General features: G+C 42.3%; 1 long non-coding RNA gene across 1 annotated transcript; it reads right to left on the reverse strand.

The window, feature by feature from the left end:
* Positions 1–11,324: 11,324 nt before the first annotated feature.
* LOC105377295 (uncharacterized) lies at positions 11,325–26,985 on the reverse strand. Its single transcript, XR_938911.3, has 3 exons — positions 26,649–26,985; positions 17,141–17,342; positions 11,325–12,285 (listed from the first exon to the last, which is right to left on the reverse strand). It is a non-coding gene; the product is annotated as an uncharacterized LOC105377295 (long non-coding RNA).
* Between the last annotated feature and the right edge of the window lie 999 nt (positions 26,986–27,984).

Consider the following 27,984-nt stretch of genomic DNA (forward strand, 5'->3'; position numbering starts at 1 on the left):
TGCTAGCTTTTGTCCTCTTATATGCAGATACCAAAGTGGGATTGGATGTTCAAAAGCTTTGAGGGTGGGAAGAAAGCCCGGGGACAGAAATTGAGGAGGGAGCTGGAGGAGTCTGGGAGGATCAAACCACAATGCATGCACGTCTTACCTTCTCAAGGAAAGAAGAAAGGTCAGGTAGGAAGTGGCTTAGACTGAGGAGTACAATACTAAGTGTTTTGGCAAAGCAGATGGCAAGTCCCAGGGCCCAACTTGCCCACTGGGAGTTCCAAGTGTCCTAAATGAGCCTGCCATAGTCTCCCAGCTGCACTGAAGCATCAGCTGGAAGCAGCATTTAGGAAGTGTGGTGTTCTAATGGACCCACAGTTGGCCCCTGTGCTGCACAGATCTACTTCCCTACACCAGTTCACAGAGCAGTGACTCCATGTCCACAGGCCTCTATTTTTGAGAGGAAACTTATACAGGAAGATGTTAGGGGAAGAAATGCAACTGCTGTGGCTGAAGTGGGTCTTGGCTCACAACTACTTCTCCTCTTCCACCACCAAAATCCACCCTGAATTCCCTTTGCACTCAGCTATCGCCTCAGCTGAGGATTGGTGCTGATCTGGTGGTGTGATCCACACCTTCATCCTGAGGTATTTCAACCTCTAGTGAATAGATGCTTAAGATAGGGCTACTTAATGCCCCAGTTACAATGGGACGAGAAATAAGATACTCAAGTGGAATACTTGGGTTCCATTCATGTTCTTTACTGCTCCAGGGTGCCTAGTCTCCTGCTGGTCATTCTGTTGCCCTGCCACAAGGATGACTCAAAGTGACCAGTAACTCACTTGAAGCAGTAGAAAATGAGACCATTTTTCCTTCTCAACTGTAGGTTGCAGCATCCCTGTAATCATTCTACTGGGGATACAGCACCTCTGTAATGTACTATGGCATCATGAAGAAGGGCACTCCAAACTCTGAGCACATTCACTCAGTGCTGCTGCATGGCTTTCTGAGTCTCTCAGTGCTGAAGTCACCTGATTCAGAATGATGTTGTATGATACCAGGTTACCTCATGATTAGGAGCCCATTCTGTACCACTTCTTTCTGATTCCAATTTATTGGTGACATGTCTGTGTGGAATTGCATGCCTGTGGAAGGAGCATTGCAAATGATCCCAGATAGTAGTGGTGGTAGAGATTCCTCAAGGAAGAAAGGGACATTCATAGTAAGATAGTTGTCTATTCCTGTGAGTCTATATGGCTGACTCTTTTAGAATAGAAATGGCTCAATGTAATCAACTTGCTAACAAGTGGTTTTTTGGTCTCCTTATCAGGGTGCTATATGGGGATGCAACATTTGTCTAAAGAGCTGCACATTCAGAGTTACTAGACTGTCTCTAGAAATTGGCATTACATGCTGTTGGGCACCTGTGTAGCCTCCATGTCTGTTGCCACTATAGCCTGTATTCATTTGCTAGTTGGCTGATAACTGGCAGTCATTTTGTTTGGGTGGCTCGGTGAGTTTCTGTGGCTGGTGCTCTGTAGTGAGTCTTCACATGTGAAATGAAATTTACATGTCTACATGAACACACCTTTTCAGGGTTCTTTGTCTGACTTTGCAGTCCATTTGCATCTGGTCTACTGGTCAAGTGGTCGGGCCATGGGCCTCTGTTGTAGATTCATAGCAGATTAATTTGAGCTGTCAATTACTTTCCTCAAAGATGAGGGCCTGGGAGGCATTTTTATTGGTGTCATAGCCATAGAGCATAGCCAAGAGGCTTTAGAATTGGAAATAGTGTTCTCACTTAGCAATTTAACAAGTATGTCTTTCTTAATCCCAAAGTGGTACTAGTTTTGCTGATATAAGCTAAAACTCATAAAGAATATTGCTGTATGACTTAGGCATATACCTGCCTTGGTGTCTTGGCCCTTCTAATAAGGAGATGAAAAATATGTTGGAAATACATTTGGATTCTCAAAGTTGAAAGCAGGCTGGCCCTGGTATTCCCAGTACTGGTCAGTAATGCTTTGGCTTGCTCACAAAGCCTTGAGCCAAGGGTCAAGACAATGAGGAAGAAATACCCATCTGTGTTGCGCTGAGGATGGTGGCAGAAATAGGTTTCTTGCTCAGATGGTATCTTCTCACTTCAAGCCCTCTTCCTTTGGAAAAAGTGAAACTTCCTTTCATTGTTCTTGTCTTTAGGATGGGATTGAAATCTGCTGTGAGTTTAGACCTTTATCTGTTTCACAAGACTCCCTGTATTGAGTTGAACATGAAGACTCATCTTTCCCAGTTCCCTAATAAGAGTTCCCAGGCTTAAAGCTCTATGAGAGGTATGTCCAAACACACTCAGGCTTGTAGGATGTATAAGAGCTTTGCCTTCTAGCCCCTTGTCTCAATGTCCCCAATTTGTATGCAGAGTTAAACTATGTCACAAGATTCCTAGTTTATAGACAGGCCTATAATTGAGTGATGGGGGATGGGGGGGCTTGACCTGCCAACTACGGCAGTCACCTGCATGTTCTGGGGGAGTGGCTATGCCTGCATGTTCTGGGGGAGTGCTAGTGAGCCATATTTGGTGTTATGGGTTATGGAATAGGATATCACTGTTCTGTGGCACAGCTATACATTCTATATTTTGCTTCTAAATTGATCATCTTTTATATTGTGGGGCAGGCAAGTGTGTAAGTTAGAGCCTTGACCTTGGTAAAGGTTGCTTGGCACTTGGCACTTTGTTTTTTGGGGAACCAAGAGTTTATTTCTGCTTTTTAATCAGGGACTCACTCAACAGAGGTCTCCATGTGAAAGCAAGTCTGTACTAAAAAGCTAAACAGCACTTCTGTGGACCTCTCAGTGGTTATTTGATTGGATGGCTCAAAGTGTATCAGATCATGAGTTTAACTTCCTGTATGAGGGAGATGGCTTTAGAGTCCAGGATGAGGTATCTGAGACCACAGGACACTGCTAGAAACTGACTCGCTGACTTCTATGCTTCACGAGATATGAGTGGTCTTGTGCATCCCTCCCAGGGTTTCTGGAAGTGCATGTGGGGTGTGAAAGAATCAGACAAGTCCCAAAGGTAAACTGCCAGGGCAGAAACTCTGAAACCTGATTCACTGTGTTGGCCAGAAGAGGGCAGCACTCACACAGCAGAACAACTTTACGCATTCAGTGACTTCAAGGAGGATCCATACTCAGAGCCAACGATCCCTGAGAAAGCCTGGAGAGGGGTTGGGGCCTCAAATGAGCAGCTTCTTAGTGATGTTTCTGGGAAGAAAGAATGGACAAGTGAGTGGCCTCTTGGCCTGATAAGTACTTTGCACTAAAAGAGATAGGAAGGCCTCAGAAGCAGTATCAGAAACAGTCAGTCTCTGACCTTCTGTTCTTCTGTCTCCTGTTTGTTCTTTCCAAGACAGGTCACAGAAACTAGACTTCCTCTTCCTCAAGGCAAGTCATAGAAACTAGAAGCCCTCTTCCCCAAGGCCAGCTGTAAAACCTGGAAAGATTGCTCACTTTCTCCTTGCCTTTCTGTGTAAGGACTGGCCATGAAGAAATTCTGACCTACCTTGACTAATAGTAGGTTATGAGACCCTCATTCCACAAGGGGTCCTGCCACCAACCCAGGTGGAAGAAATGCCAGAGACAAAGAATCTAGACAGGCCTAGGTGGCTTTCCCAACTCAGTCTATTAGCATTAGGTCATATATCTCTGACCATTTACAGTCCTACATGGCTGTTCATACATCATTAAACCTAAGCAGGAAAATAGAAAGTTTTCTGTTTCTCCGTGGGTCTTCATTCTGAAGGTTCCCATGTCAAATTTTGATAGCATTTTGAAAAATAAATTTGGGCATACAGCCCTGGGTAGAGGCACTTCTTGGTAGGGAAATGGGTGAAGGTAAAAGGAACCTGTCTCAAAGCAGATGATCCAGAGTAGGTGTTGGAGAAAGATCTCAGTGGGGGACCAGATGCGGAAAGATTAAAACAGAGCAAAGATCCAGAGAGGCAGAGTCAGCTCTTTGGTCAATAATAAGCACCTTGGTTGAGTAGATGGTCACAGAATGGCATGTTTCTCAGAGGGACTTGTGCTTGAGCAGCATATACCTGCCTTAGTATCTTGGCCCTTCTAATAAAGGGATGAAAAATACATTGGAAATAGTTTGATTCTCAAAGTTGAAAGCAGGCTGGCCTTGGTATTCTAGATCCATCATGTGAGCACGTTTCTCTTGTGTGCATAAAACAGCATCTCAGAAGGTGTAAGTGTATGGATTAGTGAGACTTCTATGCTTTTACCCTGTATTTTTTATTGCTCACAAATCTTATGCAAACATGAGCTTTCCTAGGCTTACTTAATATTTCCCTTTATGTGACTATCAGTGACAAAGTGCAGTGAATTAAGCAATGTGAGCATAAGGTGTAGGCCTTGTGAGAACACAGAGCACATGGAAGACCATCAGCATCCTCCTTGCGCTCATGTGCAGCTGGATTTGCTGGTGAGCACCCACAGGGTCATTTTTGTGTGTTTTCTGTTTGCATAGTGTCTCTTGCCTAGAACACTTTCCCAGTACATAACAATGACTACAGATGGTGACCTGAGATAGCAAAGAAAGTCTATAGTACATTGGTTCATAACAAACTCAGTCAGCTTTTGGTTCTTGTAGAGAAGCTAGAGTGTTTTAAGAGAGTATTTTATGCTAGTTAAGGAAGTTATTAGAGTTCTGTATGATGTAACTTTCTTGGGATTCTAGTCGGTATGATACGTGGAATTTATAGGCAAACAACATCTTAAGGTAATTAAGCTCAGATTTTAGTCTAGTTTTGAAACTCAGTTCTGACTTGACTGAGTGGCTTTTGTTACACATACATTTTCTGCTTATGTAAATTTAATGGTATCTACAACTAGGTCTCGAAGCATGCGACATTACTGATTTTTCTATAATTTTTTCTGAGGACTCTACTGGTGGGAAGATGAATATCTGGTCCTTCATTTCCTACTACTAGCTTGTTGGCTCTAAGTATGAATCCTCCCTAATGTTGCTGAATGTGTAAAGCCACTTGGGTGCTATCTAGGATAAAGTGGGCAATACTTTATACCAATTCCAGGAGGTAGAACCAACTTGGAGGTTTTAGATGTATATGTGTTAGGTTGGATAAATAAGCCACACAGGACGTGTTCTTGAAGAGCCATACACTAGGCAAGAAACCATGGTTAGTGGTAAAATCACTGCAATCCAGTGCCATAATGAGGTAGAAAAGTTGGCATGCAAATACTGAAACTAGAGACATCTAGGAACCATGACAGATCATGGAGTTGCCAGAATTGGGCAGAACATGTAATTGGAGAATGTTGAGAGTTGAGGGAGGACTTCATTGTAATGAACAGGCATTCTGGGCACAGAACAGAGGAACTGCATTTCTCTAGGCCCTTTTGTCTGTGTTGTAGATTAGACTGTTTAGAATAAAAATTGAAGTGGAATTTGGCAGGAAGTATGGTATGTAGAGACCAAATCCTATCCTGGATGGGAAAGGAAACAGGATTGGGTGACAGGAGCACTTAACTGCAGTGCAGGCCCAGCAATGCCTTAGCCAGTGTTGGTATTCATGTGGCCCTTCAGCTTGTTCCATGGTGGCCTGAAATAGCTGATCTTTATGTGTCTGCTGCAGTCAGTGATTGGATGGGGGCTGCATGGGAAGGGCATGCCCTTGGAGCTGAGGCAAACCCTGAAGTTGACTGGAGGCTGCTGACAGTGCTTCAAGCAGCTAGGGCAACATGTTTTTGAAGGGGATCTGGTTGGAGCATTCCTATGCCCTCCAAATCCAGTGATTTGGTGGAATTGTCTACCCTTTTTAATCTCTGGCCTGTGTTAACACATGCATATGCTCAGCATAGCTTTTTTTTGGCCCTACCTTTCCTACTGAGCTCCAGATGGAATCTGAGCTTTAGGTATTAGATGATTGACATGAGAGACAGAAGCTATGAAGTGACTAGACAGGTTGGAGACCACTACATACCCATTTTCACTCTCATAACCTAATGAGGTTCTTGTTTGCAGAAAACTAAACTTTCAGAACAATTTCATGACACATAGCAAGTGCAGTCTATAGGCCTCCCACATGTCACTTCTACAGCTTACAAAATTGACCAAAGTAGTTCATGCTGTCTCCATGTCCCAGATGGTTTGGACCACAGGGAAAATTCATTTTCTTAACCTTGGTCATAGGTAGGTCCAGGCTGTAGGACTTTGTGTCTTAAATCCATCCTCAATCTTTACCCTCAGTAGTTTGCTACATTGAAAACCTATCCAAGGATTCTGATGGCTCGAGCAGAGCTATTATAGGATCCTTATCCCAGGCTCCTCGGGTTGGGGTAGGTCTCCAGGCAGAAGTCTTGTTCCAGTCTTCTCACAGGCATGGGGTTGGGGAGAGAAAATCCAAAGTTTTCTTCACAGGACACAGCAGTAGTTTAACCCTTTGCTTGCCTTATGATATGAATGTCTTCTACTTGGACCTGAACCCTCAGCAGAATAAAAAATTAGAAACAATCTGAGATGGTTCTTACTGCCTGGAACTGGTACTCATGTAAGCATGGAGGCCAGATGGGCAATGTGGGCTGTGTAGGCATCAGACTGGCAGGGAGTGGACAAGTGGATTCTTGCATCACCTGGTGGAGGGAACTAGTCTCTCCAGGGTATGCAGAGGTAGGGCAGGGGCAGGTTCAGCTGTGGCAGCAGCTAGTGTCACAATAGTGACCCTAGCCAGAACTGGGGCAGTTGTCATGGATGTGGGGCCACTCAATCCCCAAAGTAGGAGGGACCCGGGGAGGGCAGGTTGGACTGTCCACCACTCTGAGGGGAAGATTCAAGCTGGGCAGCCTGCAGAGGATGAGGGTTGACACTTGGCACAATGAAGTGCCCATCTACCGTGGGCAGGGGCTGTGCAGCACACATCCAGGGAGGTCTTATTCATCCTGGATGTAGAGTTCTTCAGAACAACTGACTTTCATGTTGAATGTAAGTCGGGAGCCCCAATATAGAGCTCAAAGCCCGTGATGGTGTCCTAGAGTGGAACTTATCCTATAACCTAGGCACCTCCTTCCCTCCCTCCATGGCAGGTGTTAGCTACAGATATGAGGGGACCGCGTTTGTATGCCTACCACATGACCATTCTGGAAGCTACAGTTCTTGTTACTCTCAGCTCCAACTTTACTGGTAAATTCTACTTTGTCTTTGGCTACTTTATAGCTAGCCCCTGTAGCATCAGGTCAGGATGGCATGGTTCCAGGGCAGCAGGAGGAGGAAGTGCTTCAAGTCCTAGCCCCTGACCATTCCCTGGTGCTCTCTTCCAAGTGAGCATGAGGATAGATGATCTGTGATGGTTGGCTTCCCTGAGACCTAGAGACAACTGTGAGGGAGACAGTCTCTACCTGGATGAAGGGCACAGCTTGATGTAGACTTCTGCTTTTTCTTTTTTCAGATATGTCCTTTAACTTTCCTCTAAATTGTAGTCTGGAGCTTAGACTTTTGGATCCTTGGGTTACAGTCCAGTCTTTACTACAATCTCACTTGTCTCTTGGGGAATTCTGTGTATTGGATAATTCACAGGCTAGAAAAGAAAACCCTGGCCTAGTTTTATTTGACCTCCCACAGCCATTCTGTCCCCCACTGAAGCATCCTTGGCCTAGTGCCTTCCAGGTCCCTTGGCTTTGCCAAATTTCCACACTCCTGCCTTGTGACTTGGGTGTTCGTAAATACTGCTCTGGTGTCTGTTCACCTCCACCTTGCCCAAGGAGAATGGCTGTTCAAGCTCCCTTAGATGACAGCCTCACCTGCTGCCTCAGGCTAAGTGCTCCTGCTTCATATGCTGCTTCACAGCCTATGTGCCATTCATTCTGTCATGGTTTGTGACCCTATTTATGCTAGCAGGTACTAGGCAGCAGCATCTAATATTTGCCATCCTTGAAGTGGAAATGAAGCACACTTATTTGTCCAGTCATGTTTAGGTAGTTATTGGCTACTATGCTTTATGTAAAATATCTATGTCTGATCTTTACTCTGTACTTCCTAAGTATTTGACTTGATCTTTGAATATTGGGAATATGAGACCTCAGTCTGTGACCACATAATTTTTTTTCACCAGCTTTTCCAGAACGCTTACTTTTACGATAGCCTTTTTTTTTTTTGTATCTTTGGATGTCTTGCTGTGTAAATCGTGTTGATGAATTACTCACTGAAAACATGTAGTTTCCCTCCTTATTCTTTCTCTGAGCAAACCAATTTCCCTTTCTAAAGAAAACGTTCCTTTGTTTTCTTCCAGAGATTCTTTACTTATACTTTGGCTGAGTGGATAGTACTAATACTTATGTACATCACCACTTTAAAACCAAATATAAACTTTTCCAACATATTTTATAGATATTTCCTATCAGTGCATACAGAGCTAAGCTTAGATTCTCCCAAGGCAGAGTCTGAGCCCAGGGTTTTATTACCTTTTCCATGGTGGAGTCTTTCTGGTTGGTGTTAATGTGTGACACAGAATGGTAGGGTCCTCTCTCACTCATCTGCCAAAACAAATATCTAGCCTATTGGCTTTAGACATGTCTATACAGAAATTAGTATAACTGAATGTTTTCCCTTCTCATATAAGCACTGTTAAAACATGAATACAGCCCCTTGGATCAGTTATTTCTACAGGAGTCAATCTTGGTTGCACCTGCCCAGATCAAACCCTTCAGTTAATTAGGTGCTTTATTTAACAAAGCTCACTCATATTTCTTTGAAGTTAGGGACTTGTTTGGGCATTTGCCTCAAGTCCAAAGGACTTGGACTGCTGGCTCTTGTAGTCCTATAGTAGACACACAGATAAGTTATTACCTTGGGTAAGCAAGTATCCAAATAAGGTAACATCATAAAAGTGACAGAATTGGGAGTTAATATAAACCATGGGGTTCTGTTATTTCATGTAATAAATGTATTACCGTTATAGATAAACTAATGCTAAAGAAAGTTCCAAGTGTTCTGTGCTGGTCACTTTAGTTTAAAACTACAAATGTGGTGAATATTTGGACTTTGGATCTGAGTTCAGGTCCCTCTTTGACCTAATTGCCTAGTTACTTTGGGGAAGTCTGTTTCCATCTGTTTTGATCCCTCTGTTGAGCTTCATTTCTCCTCTACAAAGTTACGAAGGGGAAGATAAGTATTCAAACTACTTTGTCATACTAATGAACTGAATCTTCTCAAAGGTACACATGCTTTATAAGGAAAAACGGGAGGAAAAAAATATACTCTCTGGGCCAAAACTTGTTGGCTTTGCTTAATTTACTGGGCATTTTCTTTACTCTGTGGTTGAGCAAAATAGATGGTAATGTGAGACAGGACTCACTTGCTAGAAGCAAGCTGCTTTGATAGCCTCACAACCTGAGCTTTTCTTTCAGGATGTGGAAGAACTTCGTTTTTGAGCATCTAATGGCTCTAATAAAGACCTGATACCCATTAGTCTCAAGCAACATAACCCACATTCTCATACTACAGCACGTGTGGTTTTCTATATTGGATAGCCTATACTGAAATGGTAGTGGTTTCTGATCTAAAGCTTATAACCCACACATGTAGACTCTACAACTCCAAATGTGTGCACAAAAGCTCTTTGAGTGTGCCAAGTAAAATAAGTGGAAGTGTTACATGTGGTCATGCCACAATCTCAGTTAATGGCAGACTAAAGTGGGTCAACGATGTGCCACCTCCTGCAACCCTACCAAAAACAGAACTGACTGCTTCACACTCCGTCACACACCCACACCATATCCTGCTTTATTTCTTTCATAGTACTTACCCTACTGACCCAGACCCAATCCCTGTTGGACTGAACAAAGGACAAATGCAGGAATAAAGATAAAGACAAAAGGGTATATTTGGAAGAAAGAGTTGAGGGGCTCATTGCTTCTAGTGTACAAGGGCACTGAGCTTTAGATCCCTTTGTATTTGAGTAAAGGAGATAGGGAGAAAGAGGGATCGTTGTCAGTCAGCTGCTTGACTTAGAGCAAGCTTGCACGATGGCATTCTTTGAACAGTAGTCTCCAGATGTTCCAGTAGATAACCTCAAGGAGCATGGCACCAGGGAGTGATTGCCCTCAGCACACCTTCCGTCAGCAGGAGCAGAAGCGAGATTGCCCATGTTCTGCATTCAAGATAAACAGTTTGTTGTTTGATCATACAGCCTCAGTGGAATGCTGAGTTGGTCATGACACACAGGCCTTCGGCTCTCTACATTTCCCCCTTTCTGTTTATGTATTAATTGAAAGAATGTAAGGCCAGGTTTGGCAGCTCTCATTTTGTGATTGGCGGTCCACCTGATTTTAGACTATGAACAGAAGACAGGGACAAAACAACAACATTCCAAGGATTACATATAAGATGTTAATGTGGTGCTTTAGATAGGTCCAAGGATTGATGCTCTGCAGGTGTTGCTGGAATTTCAGTCCAGTCTTCTAAAGAAGGCTGAAACTCTTGAGTTTATTTAAACCAAGAATTTTGTTTTGTAATTCACCAATATCAAAGGTGATGTTGGATGTGAAAGCTCCCTGCAAATGGGCTTCCACAAGGTCCCACGGATACTCACTTTGGTTATATTCTAAGTTGGTTACACAAATATGAGTGTGATTAAAATGACAGCGCAATTGCTGTTGCAATTGTAAGCTTTGTACTTGTTCTCCTAACCATAGAACCATGGATTTCAACATTGCCACTTCAGTTTGTAACTCAGTGTTAATTTTATTCTGAAGTAGCCATGCTTGGTTGGTTGCATGTGTCAAGTTTTCCACATGCTGAGCTGTTTGAATATAACTATGCAGAGCTATAGAGGGCATCACAACAGAAGTTATTAATGTGACCAAGGAAACAATAGCAAAAGTTATCATGCCTAAGGCTCTATGGATGCAATGAGTAAGTTGAGTTAGAAGTTTCACGAAGTGCAAGGAGGGGGTGGCAGCCCAAGGCTCAGACAGATTAACAGGAATCCATAGCCCAGGGATGTGACCCCAAATTATCAAAGTAGAGATATTATGTGTTTGCAATGTGCTATGATTAATGCAGTGATATAACTGGCAAGATTTACAGGTCAATTGGGGTATTGTTTACCTGGAGCTGCTCCTTCTTAGCTGCCAAAAAGACATAAGGATTAAAAACACAAACTGTAAATTGAGTAGTGATATTCTTTACAAATGTAACATTAAAACTGTTGTTTACTATTGCTATTATTGGATAGTATCCCAATCCAGATGCTGCCATTCATAAATGGGAGTGCTGCCTTCCATAACGTCTCTTGGATTGGTCCTTTCCTCCCTAGATAGTGCCATTGAGGAAGAGGTGGGATAAAGCCTGCTCCATGCCAACAATCTGGGTGGCAGACTGGGATTGGATCCCAGTGTGGTATAAAGAAGCAGCATTAAAACTTGCCACTAATGCCAGCGAAGTTTGTGCCATGATTTCTGATTTTCATCTTTTCCATATATTCGACCTTTAGGCCCCCAATCCACAATGTCTCCAGTTAACATACATTGTTTTCTAGCCAGTTGGCCAAGACACTGGGTCCACAGAGGTGGATAGGAACTAGTGAAGGGAATCCATTCCGTATAGTCAGCACAACTGGGGTGACTGGGCCGGGAATGGTTGGTTAGCACACCAGTTACATTAATGGAACCAAGATTTAATAGGTACATGACATTTCCATAGTGACTCAACCATTCTTGAGCTTGAATTGCAAGACAGATACGGTTGAGTGACTTTTTTGTAGTGATACACAAGAGGAGTCCTTCCAGTGGGGCAGTATAATTAATGACATTGTTCTGAGAGTCTAACTTTTCTACGTCGGGGGAGTTAGGGGTCCTGGAGCCCACACTCCCTGATCATGATAGATCACTTTAGAGGAGTGTCACTCCAAAGTATAGGTTGTACTAGTGGGGGATTGGGAACATATGCCTAATATGTTTTTGCTTCTGCACAGGGAAAACATACCACACAGGACATTATGGCTAACATAGCCAAGAACATGGAATCAGGGGTTTTTGTCTGGCCTTGATGCTCCCATAGTTTTCTAGCTTCCTGTGTGGTTTTCTTGAGTTGCCCCCAGTTATGGGGGTTGATGTCATTGTGACTCTGGTCAGCCATCTCTCCATCTTTGCACTCAGGCTCAGCTGGCTCATGGCTCATACCAGAGGGACCGGGCCCATGTTTTGCAACCAAGTGTTCCTCCAGTTTCCCATTCCGTGGTTGCACGCACCTTCGGGGCACCCATACAGTTTGTTTGTCTCCTGTAAAAACACAAGCATACCCTTGTCTTCATGTTAGTAAATCCACCAGACATTTCCATTGTCCTCCTTCCAGGGATTTCCATAACACTTTTGGATAAACTTTCCTCTTTTCCTCTAACACTTGCCAATGTCTTTCTGCTGGAGTCTTACCATCTGTACCAGGAGTCAAAAAATTTAATGTAAATAAAGCTAAATATTTTGTTTGTGGTGGTAACTGGTCTCCTATACCTTTTTGTTTTTTCAACATGTGTTGTAATGTTTGGGCCCACTCTATAATGCCTTGCCCTCTAGGATTATAAGGAATTCCTGTTTTGTGAGTTATAGCCCAAAGCTGTAGGAAATTTTGAAAAGCATGACTAGTATAAGTGGGTCCATTGTCAGTTTTTAATTGTTTAGGGATTCCCATATGAGCAAATAACAATGTCACTGTGCATGCATCTGTTTGGCATGTAGCATGCAGCATATGAGAATAAGTGTCTATAGTCACATGAACATAGCTAAGTTTGCCAAAGGCTGCTATATGTGGAACATCCATTTGCCAGATTTCATTTGGAGCCAAACCTTGTGGGTTACAACTTTCTACAGGTGTGGCTCCAGGGACATGCTGGCAAGTAGGACAGGCTTGTATTATAGTCCTAGCTTGGATGCGAGACAAGTGAACCATGCGAGTAAGAGCAGAAGTATTTTGGTGCAGTAGCACATGGGAGGCTTGAGCTTGCTAAAACACAGAACCAATTTATCTGCTCTATCATTACCTAGAGATAGTCATCCGGGAAGTTGTGTGTGAGAGTGAATATGAGAAATATGAAAAGGAACTGCATGAGAGCACATAGCTTACTGAAGTCTTAGAAACAAATTAAGCAGTTCTGATTGTAGGGTATATTTAATTGTAGCAGTTTCTATGTGACTGCCTACATTTATAACATAAGCTGAATCACAGACACTGTTGATAGGATCTGAAGCTGTGAGCTATAAAACCTGAATGACTGCAATTAAATCTGAGTGTTGAGCTGAAACCCCAGAGGTCATTATTGTTTATGTTTAGGTCCATAAATAGCTGTACAATCTTTGGAAGAGCCATCAGCAAAATAAGTCTAGCCACCTGAAATAGGCTTGTGATGAGTAGTCACAGGAAGAATGAAAGAATGGACTTTATAAAACTGTAAAATTTTGTCTGAGGGGTAGTGGTTGTCTATTATTCCCACAAAGTCTGCAAAAGTGATTTGTCATGCAATCAACACATCCCAAGCTGTGGCCTGTTGCTGGGAGTCTAAGGGAACAATGATTTTACCTGGATCATATCCCATAAGCATCTTTGACCTATGACTGCTCATAGTCACAATTTGTGTAATTAAAGACAAACTTGTAAAGTTTTCACTGTTTGATTAGGCAAAAAGAGCCATTCTATTACTGTTACAGATTTGTCTAAGCATTGGCCTAAAAGTCCTGTTGGAGAATGGGGCATAGGAAGAATTGAAGCAAAGGTTTTTGTGGCTGTAGGTGGGAGGCATGTCATTGCTGTAGCATCTGCTCTACATGCTGCAACTCTGCTTCTGCCTCTTTTGTCAATTGCTGCGGGGAATTTAAAGAAGAGTCTCCTTGCAGGGTTTGATAAAAATGTGTAAGTTGATAAATTGCAATACCTAGCATTGGTTACAACCAATTAATATTTCCTAATAATTGTTGAAAATCATTTAAAGTCTGTAATCTATCTTTATGGAGAACTACTTTCTGAGGCTGTACACTCCTCTCTAACAATAGCTCCTAAGTAATGGTATGGGGAAGTTGTTTGTACTTTCTCTGGAGCAATTTTGAGATTCCATTTAACAAGAGCTCTCTTTACTTCTCTGAATAATTGATGCAATATTTGATCTGTAGGAGTGGCCAAAAGTGTATCATCCATATAATGATATATGCAGTAGGAAACATATTTCAAGGCTCCTTTAATGTTCTTCCCATGAAATGCTGACATAACATAGGTCTGTTTAGCATGCCTTGAGGCAAAACTTTCCATTGATAGTGAGAAGCAGGTTCTCTTTGATTAATAGAAGGCACAGAGAAGGCAAATCAAGGCTTATCCTCCTCATGTAATGGTATAGTAAATAAACAATCCTTAAGAACTATTACAACGAGAGGTCAGTCTCTTAGAATGGCCGCTTGGGTTGGCAGACCTTGCTGTAAAGTGCCCATCGGTTTAACTTGCGCATTAATAGCTCTCAAATAATGTAGCAGTTGCCATCTTCCAGACTCTTTTGGAATAACAAACACTGGTGAATTCCAGGGACTGACTCCTATATGTCTCGCAACCAATTGTTCTTTTACCAACAAATGAAGTTACGCTAGCTTCTCCTGTGTTAGGGGCCACTGATCCACCCACACAGGTTTGTCACTGAGCCAATCTTTTTCTGTCTTTCCAGTTATTGATATCAGCTTAGGGTTTCCTTGTAGGAATTTCCCTAAACATTTCCCACTCTGATATCCTATGTCCTTCAACATTTTAAATCCTGGATTATCAAAGTTTTCATTTGTAAGTCTCATCCCATGCTATAGGTAAGTCTCAAGCCCATAAATTGTTAGCTGTATTTGTAACATAAGGCTGGAAAGTACATGATTGTCCATCCAGACCAAGACAAGGTAAAATCTCAGCACTCTGTTGAACACTTAGCTGCTCCCACTCCCACTAGGGATCTGGAGGTTAGTCTGAGAGGCCATGCTGGGGGTGAGTCCTTACTTAATATTACTGACACATCAGCTCCTGTGTCCATAAGCCCATAAAATTTTTCCTTTAATCTGTACTACACAGGTGGATCTATTAGAGGCTATAGGTTGTGATAGATTTCTCCTGTAGTTGTGCTCTCAAACCCTTTATTTCCTCATCTCTCCTCTCATGAAGGGTGTAATTTGCAGAGAATAAGCAATAGTTGTGCTATATATTCTCCCAGTTCAAAAACCCAAAGATCTAATTTCTTCTTCATAATCAGAATCAATCACTCCAGGGACTGCAGTGATGCCTTTCAAGTTAAGATGGCTTTTGCCTAAAATTAGTCCCATATATCGTGCCGGTAAAGGTCCCCAAATGCCAGTGGGAACTTTGATAGTTTTGTCTCCACCAACTAATGTAATTCTTTCTCTGACTGGAAGATCTAATCCTGCACTTCCTGGGTTGAGGGAATTAATGTTTCTCCTGGGACCCACCCCTCAAATGCAGTTGTGGCCTGGACTGGGAATGCCCTCATTGTTTGAGGAGCCTGGGTCCAGACCCCCATCTCATTTCCCAATGGAGGGGGTGCCATTTTGGTGAAATTTTGAGTGGCGTTGATTAGCCCACTGATTTCCTTTGTTACAGTGAGGACAGAGTCCTGGTGGTTTTTTTCCACTGGGGGTTGGGTGAACTGCATTATAAGATCCTTTCTGTCCTGAGATCAGGTGGCATTCCTTTTTAAAATGTCTAGTTTTTCCACAATTATAACATTTTCCCATTTTAGGGTTCAACCCTTGGCTCTTTTTTAGATTTGTTATCTTTTCTAGATTTGTTAACTACTAAATTAGCCATTGCTTGCACTAACATTGCAGAGTGATGAAGCTCAGTTCCTACATCCTGACAAGCTCTGAGAAAATTTCCCAAGTTTTTTGTACAACTCACAGGTGCCAGTGCATGTTTACAATCCACATTTGCATTCTCAAAAGCTGAAGTCAAGGTTAGCATTTCTGCAGCAGTGGTGTGAGGAATCTGATGCTTCACTGCTTCCTGTAATCTTGCTTCCTGTAATCTTGTAATTTTCTTGTAAGCAAGAAAATGTGCTTAGGGCTCCTGTGACCCTTGCATGATATGTAAAAAGGATTGTACTGGGAGTCCCTCTTCAGGAATTGTGGCTCAGGTGCATTTAGCGGCCTGTGCACACTGCTGATGAGCAGTGTCTGGGAGTGCCATTTGATGTTCCAGGTATGAATAAGGGCCATTACCTAACAGCATATCCTTTGTAATGTCTCCATGTCCAGCAGCGTGGTTCTGTCTAGCCTGGTCTGCACACATTTCTTGCCAATTTAAATTCCATGTCAGGTGTGCACTAGCAGACAAACAAGTGTGAGCCAAATGTTTTACATCAAAGGGTAGAAGGCACATAGCACCAAATACGGATTCTAGCAATCCTAAAATGAATGGGCTCTGTACCCCATTATTAACTACACTAGTTTTTAATTCCTTCAACAACTTAAACTCTAGTGGGGTGTGCTCATGAATAAACTGCTGTGGATTGTTTGGATCAGGCCTTATGGAAATAGGAAAAGTGCAAGGTCCTAAGGGCTCTCCAGTTATGGCAGCAGAGCATAAAATTCTTTGTATTGGGGTCTCTATTTCTGCTACCAAAGGAGGTGGTACAGATGTTTCTGCTATTGTAGGGGGCAGTATAGGCCAATTTTTATCCTTGCTCTCCTGTTTTTCATTTTCAATTTGTGCTGTGAGTGGGACAACCAATTCTTTCAGATTTTAAAACTCAGAACATGACTCCGACTGTCCAGCAGAATAAGGAGATAATGGCAGAAGGACAGTATGAACTAAACACAAAGTGGAGAAAACAGAAGGATCAAATTTAAGACCTTTTTGATGAGCCATTTTAATCCTTCTCCTGCTCTGTCCCAATTTTCCACATCAAGAGTGCCTGTCTGTGGAAACCATGGGTTATACGTAATAACCTCCTGCAACATCTAAATGTCTGAGAATTAACTTGATCACCAGATTGTTTCAACAAAACTTTAAGCAACTGCACATAATGTTTTCTTCAACAGACAAATTATGCCCCCATGTTACCCTGATTCAGAAAACTTCCCATTCCCAGTACTTCTTTAGAGCACTGACCTTATATCGCTCCCATTACCTCTTTAGGGCACTGATCAGTACCTCTTTAGGGCACTGACATATCTGCTGCTGGCAGACTCATCCCAGCATCCGTGTTCATCTTGTCAATTTCAATTCCTCTCTTCCAACAGACCTTCTTTGTTCACACCCTCTAAGTCCTTGTGTTTGGATGCTACTTGATGCAGATCCAATCCCTGTTGGACTGGACAAAGGAGGATGAACATGGGAATAAAGATAAAGACAAAAGAATATATTTGGAATAAAGTGTTGGGGGCTCCTTGCTTCTAGTGAACAAGGGCCCTGAGCTTTAGAGCCCTTCATATTTATTGAGTAAAGGAGATAGGGAGAAGGGGGGTGGTTGTCAGTCAGCTGCTTGACTTAGAGCAGGCTTGCACAACAGCAATCTTTGAACAGTAATCTCCACATGTTCCAGTAGATAACCTCAAGGAGCACAGTGCCAGGGAGTGATTGCCCTCAGCAAACCTTCTGTCTGCAGGAGCAGAAGTGAGATTGCCCACATTCTGCATTCATGATAAACAGTTTGTTGTTTGATCATATAACCTCAGTGAAATGCTGAGTTGGTCACTACCCACAGGCCTTCAGCTCTCTACACCCTACCTGACTCTCTCTGCATGTGAATGCAAACTGCAGGAGGGCAGGGACTTACTGTTCACTGCTGCACCTCCAGTGCCCAGGATTGTACTTGTCTGACAGTTTGGATATGGTGGTCATGCAGTTTGGTGCATGGAATATCACTGCTAAGAGTACAACATTTCTGTCAGTGCTTGGAAGGACTTTTGTACTTCTGAGATTACCTGGGATTCCTAGAAAATAGATCCTGAGGTAGAACTCGGGTACAATAGTTTATTGGGTAAAGGAGTGCCTAGCCTCAGAATAGCAAGAGTGAGGGGATAAAGAGTGAGGCAGGAAGAGGGGAAGTTGGGTGATTTTAGCTTCCCACAGCTTTTTCAGAAGGACACAGCTGCTTGCCACATCATGCAGGCAAATTTTTCCATTGTTAGCAGAGAACTGAATTTATTTGTAAACATATATAATTTAAGACTACTAGATTCAGGCCAGGTGCAGTGGCTCATGCCTGTAATCCCAGCACTTTGGGAGGCCAAGGCAGGCAGATCACCTGAGGTCAGGTGTTCAAGACCAGCCTGACCAACATGGAGAAACCCTATCTCTACTAAAACAAAAATTAGCCAGGTGAGGTGGCGCATGCCTGTAATCCCAGCTACTCAGGAGGCTGAGGTACGAGAATCGCTTGAACCTGGGAGGCGGAGGTTGCGGTGAGCTGAGATTGCACCATTGCGCTCCAGCCTGGGCAACAAGAGTGAAACTCTGTCCAAACAAAAAACAAAAAACAAAAAAAAAAAACTGTTAGATTCATAGAGGCTTACTTCCAGCAAACTGAAACTTGCTGCTCACATTGGTTAATGACTTTATCTCAGGTCATCATCTTGTTTGGATTTTTAAATTAGCTCTTCTTATATTGCTATTATCTATTCCATCTTTGTTTTGGGAAAGTAACACACTTAAGGGATTGGGAGTTCAAATAGAATTTTAAAATCCAGTCTGGTAATATTCTGTAACCAGATATTAGAAATCACAAGTGTCCATCTACCCTTATGTTATGCTTTGTTTTGTTCTTGTGTTTCAACTCTTTTTGAGTTACAGAAAGAAGGAAAGCAATAAGGGGTTGTTACCAAAGGCCATGTTCTCCTTGAGTATGTAGGGTGTCTCTCACCATCTAGGTTCTCCTGGAGTGACTGCTGACATGGGGTTGGGGTGCAAGGTTTTGGTTTGTATGACTACTGCAGTGGCTTTGTTTCCAAAAGTATGATGGCACCTATGTCTGGTCTGAAGGATGAAGGGCACATAACCTACCTGCCAGAATCCCTCTTCCTTCTTTCCCTGTCTGCATCAAGTACTCCATATGTCCAGGTCATCATTTGTCCCCTCCAAGCAGCTGCTGGGAAAGCTGGCTCTCATTCCCCATGGTGTGTGGTGGTCTGCCTGAGTCCCAGTGGTGAGGGAGGCATAACCTCTGCAATGGCGGTTGAGGCTAGGGCTCTCCACTGGGAAAGCAGCTGAGAGTAGGGCTGAGCTAATGTAAGGAGCATAGCAATCTGGTCTGTATCTCTGAATCATAAAGAGGTTGATAATTTAGGTGACATACATAATTCAGCCATCATATTATAAGCTATTTTTCTCAATTAAAATTAAAACAAATGTAAATAGCATTATCAATGTTAGTACATTCTTCCTTTGAGCTGGAGCTGCAAGGCAAATTAAAAACTAGTACATTCTAACAAAGCATACTCATAGTTTTACTTCTAGTTAAATGTGTAGGGATAATTATGGTATTAGCCTAATATTTGAAAACAAGGCAACTCACTTTCGTTTCTAAAAGTGTCACTAAGATGGCATTGATTGCAGCAAAGTCTATTGGGTTAGCTAGAATAAGCAGTGAGAAATAGAGATAATGCTTGTTCTCATATCCTTGTTTGGATACTGCTTTAAAGTATAAATCATATAAAGGTTATTTAGAAAATCACTATTTCCGAAGAACTGCCTTGATATACTGTGACACTCATAATGAGCTGCAAAAATTAACCTACATCTTCAGGTGGGTCATATTTCATTGATCACTATTGAATAAAAATTCTGGGGTAGAAAATTTAAGTCTTAACTTTCTTCAAAGAGACCTTTTAACACGTTACACGTATCTAAGACATAAATGGCATCTGTTTTCCCTTCTGGCTGTTCACATACACATTTAATGTATTGATCATTTTTTTAACTAAAATTTGACACTACAGTTGAATGTATTTGCTGCATTTGCAGACTTCATGATGATCAGAGTCCCAGAAGGAAGGGGAACATTCTGCACTGACTTCAGACTTTAGGGGGAACTTTGCAGAGATGGGGATAGGTTACCCTAACCCAAGGATGTGAAAAGCCTAAGGGCTAGTGCAGGTAAATGACTTTACCACCACAGGCATGAAAGTGCCATGAGAAGGCATGGAATAAACAGAGCCAGTAAAGGGGGTGTTGTGTGAGGGGCTTCAACACCAGGAGCTGTGGTTCTAGAAGGTACAGCTGCTGGCAGAAGTGAGGTGCTGAGGCTCTAAGAAGATGGGCGAATAATCACCCACTACCCTCCTGGGTGTCTCCTATTGTATAATCCCACTTGGAAGTAACAGGGCAGAGGACCACATGTGATGTAATTTGTAAAGAATTGGCACAAATGGGCACAGATCAGGGCAAAGATGGAAAACCTTCATAGAGGAAGCAAGTATAGGAAAACAGTGTGATTGTTTCATGTGGGAGATGTGCAACCTCCATTTCTAAAAGTGTCACTGAGATATATGGGCACTGACTGCAGTTCTTTGGAAACAGTGATTTTCTAAATAACCTTTACATGATTTATACCTTAAAGCAGTGTCCAAACAAGGATCCAAGAACAAGTGTTAGCTCTATTTCTCACTGCTTATTCTAGTTAACTCAATAGGAGTACTAGGAGGGCCCTAAAAAGATATCTGGGGCATGAAACCTGGATGGAGGCAGTTTTTGGAAAGGAGAATAGGTTAACCTAAGAAAATTGGTCTCGGAGCAGATGACCCACAGAAGAAGGTATTTCAAAGCAAGAGGATCTCAGTGGATGAATAGATGCTGAAGCTCTAAAGCAAAGATCCAGAGAAGCCAGAGTCAGCTCTTCTATGTCAATGACAAACACCTTGTAGGGTAGATTAAGGCCACAGTAGTGGAGGATGGCATATTTTCTAAGTATGTTCTTCACAAACAACATGATGTTCATTTTTTTCTCTAATCATAGAGAAGCCATTCAAAGGAATGTGGGAGGCTTAGTGTATCTTTTATGCTTTTCAATATATATTATGCAGGCAATTCTTCCTGTAACATAGAAGTATTTTTAGGCCTTAGGCTCATCTAATTTTCATTTGTAGGTAGAAATAAGAAATCCCTACAAGAAATAAATAAATCCCTACAACCTCACAATGTGAGCATGATATTGGTCTTGTGGGGACACAGCAGAGAAGACGGCAGCTCACTGGCATCTTCTGCACATAAATGCAGCTGAATTTGCCCAGTGTGCACCCAAAGGTTGATTTTACTGAATTTGTTGTTTCGTAGCTTTGGTTAGAAAAGCTTTGCCAGTTGTACAAATAGGCAGAGGGTGTCCTCAGATAGCAAAGAATATCACTGAACTCGTTGATTCACAACAAATATGTCTTTTGCTCTTCCAGAGATCCTGGAAGGCTTAAAGAATGCTAGTTTATAATGCGTTTTACTCATCTAGGCAGTTCTTACAGAGCCCTGTATGCTTGTTCCTTCTTGGTGCTTAATGTCTGTGTTAACATATCTGAAATTCATAGGTAACACCTTTCCCAAGATAATTTAGCTCTGGTATTAGATTTAGAATCTTCATCCTGGTTTTTTTGGTCTAGTGTTTCTCAAACGTTATTAAATTTACGTAAGCATATTCATCTACATCTTTTTAGATCTCATGGAAGATATACCAGTAAAGAGAAATGATGAAATTCCCAGCTCCCCACTTGTGGGAAGACAGATATGTGGCATCTCCTCTCCCCCAGATGATTTTGTGGCTTTGTTGGGATCCTGCCTGGCATCCCTGAATCTGTAAAGCCAGTTCATGAACAGTCTGGACATTGATAAGCCCCACGGTCGGCAATGCTGCTCCTAGATTCAGGAGGTAGGGCCAACTTCGGCTTTCTTGGACATTTGTTTCGGTTGGATAGGTGAAAGACACCTAGAGAATTTTGTAAGTGAGGAGCCAACACTGGGTAGGAAACAAGGCCAGAGGATTAAATAAGTATCTATGGTGACAAAGCACTGGAAGAAATTCCAGAAGTTGGAATAAACCATGTCCTGTGCTGTAACCACCAGAAATGGGCAGAACACCTCTTCAGGGGACTCGAGGTTAATGTTTTGCTACCTAGCAAACTGATGTCAGGAAGATCTTAAACCTTCTAGTCTGTTCAACTCCTTCAATTTTCCCTAAGCATTTAGGGCAGCTGGCATCCAGATGATTATTCCTTTAGGTTAAGGTCTGAGTTTTAATTAAAATTACTGATGCCCAGAGGACTTACTCTCATTTTGGATAGTGAAGGCTGTGTGCTTGTCAGAACAGGATTGTAAGTGTAGTAGAATTGCCAGTCCTCCTTCCAGGTCATGTTGCTAAAAACCCTGAAACTTAGAGTAAGGATATTTCTAAGCTACAGTAACCATAGGCGCTATAAGCTTTGCTGGGTTCTTAGGTCTTCTGATAGGAATGGAAAGCGACCTGGGTTGCAGCAGGTCCTTCGAGGAACAAATGCCAAGACAGTATTAGATGGACAGGAATTCACTGGGGTAGATGTCTATGAGAGAAAAGAGTAGGGGCCACAGGAGGGGCTTGCCCCACAAAGTAGGGAAGGAAGGAGGTCAGTTATAAATCCTCAGATTGCAATGAGTTGCACAAGGACTTTGGGTAGGGCAATAGCAAGTCTTTGACTCAATATTTGACAGGGATCCCACAGTGAGTTAATGGGCTTGCCTTCATGTCTTTGCCATGGCACCTTGGCTGGACCTTTTAGTCAATTGCACTCCCTACTGAAGGTATCTGAATGGAGCTTTCCCATGACCAGTAGAGCTCTAACCTGAGAAGAATCCTAGAACTTGGATATAGATCTCAGGGCTGTTTTTTTGTTTGTTGTTAAGGTATAAAATCCAGTTACATCTGAAGCAAGGTGTAGATCTTCATATTGCTAGCTCTAGACTCTACAGGGTGAACATAATCAGCTACTTAAATAGTTCGTGTTGTAAGCTTCACTGAGCATTAAGAAATTAACAACTTATGGCCAGGTGCGGTGGCTCACACCTGTAATCCCAGCACTCTGGGAGGCTGAGGCAGGCAGATCATGAGGTCAGGAGATAGAGACCATCCTGGCTAACACGATGAAACCCCGTCTTTACGAAAAATCCAAAAAATTAGCCAGGTGTTGTGGTGTGTGCCTGTAGTCCCAGCTACTGGGGAGGCTGAGGCAGAAGAATGGTGTGAACCCAGGAGGCAGAGCTTGCAGTGAGCCGAGATCATGCCTCTGCACTCCGGCCTGGGTGACAGAGCGAGACTCAGTCTCAAAAAAAATTTTTTTAAACAACTTATGCCTGAGTTTTATGTGCTATAGGTTACTACTCAGGAAGTCTTTTGTAAAACAGGTGGAGTGTCCTGATGTCTGGTTGGGAAACTGGAAATGCAATACAATCACTTTCTTCCTGGGTGTATTGCATGTATTAGAATATTAGAGGTATTAGTGTAAATGGGTTTCCTCTATTTGCAAGGTTAAAATCAGTCACTAGTTAGTAAACTTGGGAAGTTAGGAAGGTGAATTAAATAATTAAGAATCTGTTAACAGGGTAGCTCCTTTGGTATGGACAGTGAGAAGAGGGTACCCCCAATCTTAGATTCCTAAGGAACTGTTGTCTAAGCATAATACATCGTAAGTGAGCTCACAAATAGACCATAAACCTGAATTTTTGAGTAGGTGAACAAGAAATTGTTAGTATCTTTGGTTATCCCTTGATGTTAATCACATAGAGCAACATGACAAGTTTCAAGGTATAGTAGAGTCTATGCTAGTCTTGACTTGAGTAAGAACTCCTCAGTGAGCAAGATAGCATAAGCTCAGAGACCTAATGATTCTGTGTACTTGGCTTGGGTTTTATAGAAAAGAGTGTGAGTGTTCAACATTTATTGCCACATTCTCAGCCAAACACATCCCTGACTTTCTTCTGGAGAGAATCTATTCCCCATCTGCCTCTCCCCTTGGTCATTCTTAGCTGTAGGTCTAGATGACTTTTTATTAGGGTAATATCCCATTTCCTTTCCCACATCCCCATAACTACCATGACTAGTTCAAGGAACGGCATGCTATCTTAGATGGTCATGCTACTAAAACTCAATATGTGCTAAAACTGGCATCTGTTCCAGAGCAGCTTTTGGAAGAAATATTTGCAAAATAATGCATTATGGAGCACAGGCCCTCATAAGACTATGAAATTCCTAATCAGAGTGAGGGTGGTATTAGGGCACTATGTGGACCGTGAGAATGAATCTGATACCAGAGAAGGTAGAGGACACAAGAAAATCTGGTTCTTGGAGAAACTGAGCCTGTCGAACCAGCCTTACTTGGACCAGTCAAACTCAACCAGCTTTGACTTTATTTATTCCCTAACCTGTCATGCTGCCTTATGTGATTACAATCAAGGGATACTGTTAAAAAAAACAAAGCCTGGTCATTTAGTGTTGGTTCACCTACTCAAAAATAAGTTCTGCTTTCTGGTATATTTGTGGGCCCACTTATGTGGATATTACTGTTTGTGAGCCGATTACTTATTTTTACTTAAGCTAGTGTAGTTAGGTGTTTGTCACTTGCAGACCAAAGAATCCTAAAAGTTATAGCCCAATGCATCACTAATGTATGTATTAGAGTAAATGGGTTTCCTCTATTTGCAAGGTTAATGAAGTTGGAGTGAACTGAATAATTCAGGTTTCTCAGACTACACACTTTAGGAAACTACCTTCTCCCATTTTAAAGGGAGCCAGAAAGCTTATGCCAAGGCAAATATAATGAAATTATTCCATACCCATGTGGCCATCTTGTTTATAATAAATCTAGTATATATGCCACTTTACAAAGGCAAGATAGTGCTCTTAAAGTCATGACTAATGCAAGTTTTAAAAAGTTAAGTATCCCCTGCCATATGTGGGACTACTGTCCAGAACTAATGCTGGTTAAAACAAAGAAGAAGCTTTAAATGAAATAAAATACAAACTGAAGGACTAGCTCGGTGGTGTCATGGTTAATAACAAACCCTTGTGCAAGCGAGTTGCCTGGATCCTAGTGAGTCAGTAAATCCAGTGAGCCTCCAATCAAAATAAATGAATTCTGGCCTCACTGGTCAGCCTGGGTTCCTTGGGCCACTTAATTTTGGATTCTCCTTGATGAGCTGCTTTGTGAGACATCAATGGGAGCCATAAGAGAGCTTTGCCCAGGAAAGTCACGAGTTTACTTGGGTCAAGAGTAGAAAGATACCGCTTGTAGTGGAACATAAAACCATAACTAGGAATCCAAAATTGGCCCAGAGCAAATGGGAGGTGACAACTTGACATACTTTGAAATACTGGTAGTAGTAGGGAGTTTTAGAAGGGAAGATCCATATACCTCAGACATCACATCGATATGGAATAAAGTTAATAACCATAGTTAGGGTAATGCAGGAATGGGCCCAGTCACCTCTTCTGACTTAGATGGTATTTTTTGCTACTCCATTTCCTCTGAATGGAGTAGTCTGTGTCTACAGGGATATGCAAGATTGCTTCCACATCTGAATTATAGGATGAAGTTTCATTTGAAACTACTCTATGCTGGCTTTTGTCCTCTTACATGTAGATGTCAGGGTAGGATTAGATGTTCAAGAGATTCAGAGGTAGGAAGAAAGTGCTGTGAGGGAAATTAAGGAAGGAGCCAAAAGAGTCTGGGAGAAGATCAGATCACAGTGTAGGTCTGGCCTTGTTAGGGAAAGAGAAGAAAGATGTTTGTTAGGAAGTACCTTAGACCGAGGTGCAATACTAAGTGTTCTGGGAAGGCTGGCGACAAATACCAGAGCCCAAATTGCCCATCAGAGGAGTCATAAATGTCTTAAATGGGGCTGCCTTAGCACCCTGGTTGCGTTCAGGCAGAATGAGGCAGTGGAAGTATAGCATTCTAATAGCCCCTACAGTTAGCCCTTGTTGTGCAGACTTACTACTTTGCAGAGTTCAGAACAGTGACTCCTTGTCCTATAGGATACCCTTCCTGAGAAGAATTTCAAGAGGATACTACTGAGATGAAATAAAGCTCCTGCCACTGAAGCTGATCTGGGGTCACAACAGATACTCATCTTCTGCCTCCTTTACCATCAACCCTGCATTCTTTGCCTTTAGCTGAGGTTTAGTGCTTACCTGGTGATGTGACCCAAACCTTCATCTTAAAGTGTCTGAACCCTAGTGATCATGTGCTTCTCAAGACAGGGCTGCTGAATGTTGGGGTTACAGTAGGGCGAGAAAAGTATGAGGAGATACTGGAGTGCATCACCTGGGTTTCATCCATATTCTTACTGCTCTCAGAGTGTAAGATAGCACAATCTCTTACTAATCGGTCACTTACCCCTGCCATGAGGAAGACTGTAAGTGACCAGTGGCTCATTCAGAGCTATGGAAAATGGGGTCATTCTTCTAAATGTTGGGCCCTGCATCAGAACAACTTATTAAATGTTCTTGCTTTTAGTGAATGGAAGAGTTTAACAGGATTCAGGTGCCTGTAGGGGAACACACTGCACCTGTGCTGTCTTCCCACTGGGAATACAGGGCTCTATAGGTGCTTCTGTAATATACTGCTGCATCATGAACTAGGGCACTCCACACATTTAGCACATTTACCTGGATTTAATGCTTCTGCTGTGCTTTCTGAAGCCTCTTCCAACATTGAGGCTACATGCTTCTGAATGGTGGTAATATGACCAGTTGACCTCAAGAACAGGGGCCCACTCTGTAACTTCTATGACCTCAGTCCATTCATAAGATCCTTTGCTGGGTATAATTCCACATCTGTGAATGATGTAGTGCAAATATCTCCAGACAGTGGTTGTGGTTAAGAATCTGCAAGCAGGAAAGACAAACCTATACCAAAACATATTCCTGTGAATGGAAGCAGCTCAATGTAGTCAATTTGCCAAGTGGCAAGTCTTCTTAAATAGTGCTATATTGGGATTCAACACTTGTCTCACTACAGGCTGGGCATTCAGCTGTAGCAGTAGCTAAGTTGTCTCTAGGAAATACGGTCCAATGTTGAGTACCTATGTAGCCTCAATCTCAGCCACCATGGTCATTGTCATTTTCCCATTGTCTGACAAACATTGGCTGACAACTGGAAAGGCTATTTTGTCTGGTTGTTCGTTGAGTCTTCTGTGACTGGTGCTCTGTAGTGGGTGTTAATTAACATCTGACATGAAATCTACATGTCTTTCACATGCATGTCCTATAGACTTTCTTGTCTCTTTCTAGTCCTTTCCATCCAGGCTACTGACCAGATGACTAGGCCATCGGTCCCTGCTGAGAGATCAGTATACATTCTCTTCTTGGGCCATGTGTCGCTCCACTTAAGGTAGATTCATAGTGAACTGGCTCGAGTTGTTAATTATTTTTCCCAAAGTTGGGGGCCTGAGAGGCATTTTTATGGCTGCTGAAACCAGAGTCTAGGTAAGATGCTTTCGAATTGGAAATAGTCCTCAGCATTTGGAATACAAGTTTGTCTCTCTCCTAATCCCAAAATATTTTTTTCTCACAAAAGCTTATAAATTCCTGAACAACCTAAACTTGGATTCACTGACATATGTGTACCCTTTTGATAAGAGGTCCTTTTGATTAAGGGGTTGAGGAAAATTTTTGATTACTTGATAATGAAATTCTTGAAGCATAGTTTCTCACTTAATAGAAGTTGAAAGCAGGCTGACCCTAGGATACTCCAGGTTCTCGTCAGCAATGCCCATGAACGCTCAAATTCCATGTTCCAAAAGTTCAGGCAAGGAGGCAGGATTGATGCCTGTCAGGTTTGGGCTGAGGAGTGATGGCACAAACCAATGTCTTGCCCAGGTGGTATAACTTGATTTCAAGCCTTAGTCCTTGTGGATTAGGTGTGATGAAATACACAGCTACTTACCTTTGCATCTGTAATGAGTAGAATCTATAACCTAGGGGTTTAAGTACCTTTTCCTTG

Source organism: Homo sapiens, chromosome 4 (assembly GCF_000001405.40).
Source record: "Homo sapiens chromosome 4, GRCh38.p14 Primary Assembly".
NCBI classification, from domain to species: domain Eukaryota; kingdom Metazoa; phylum Chordata; class Mammalia; order Primates; family Hominidae; genus Homo; species Homo sapiens.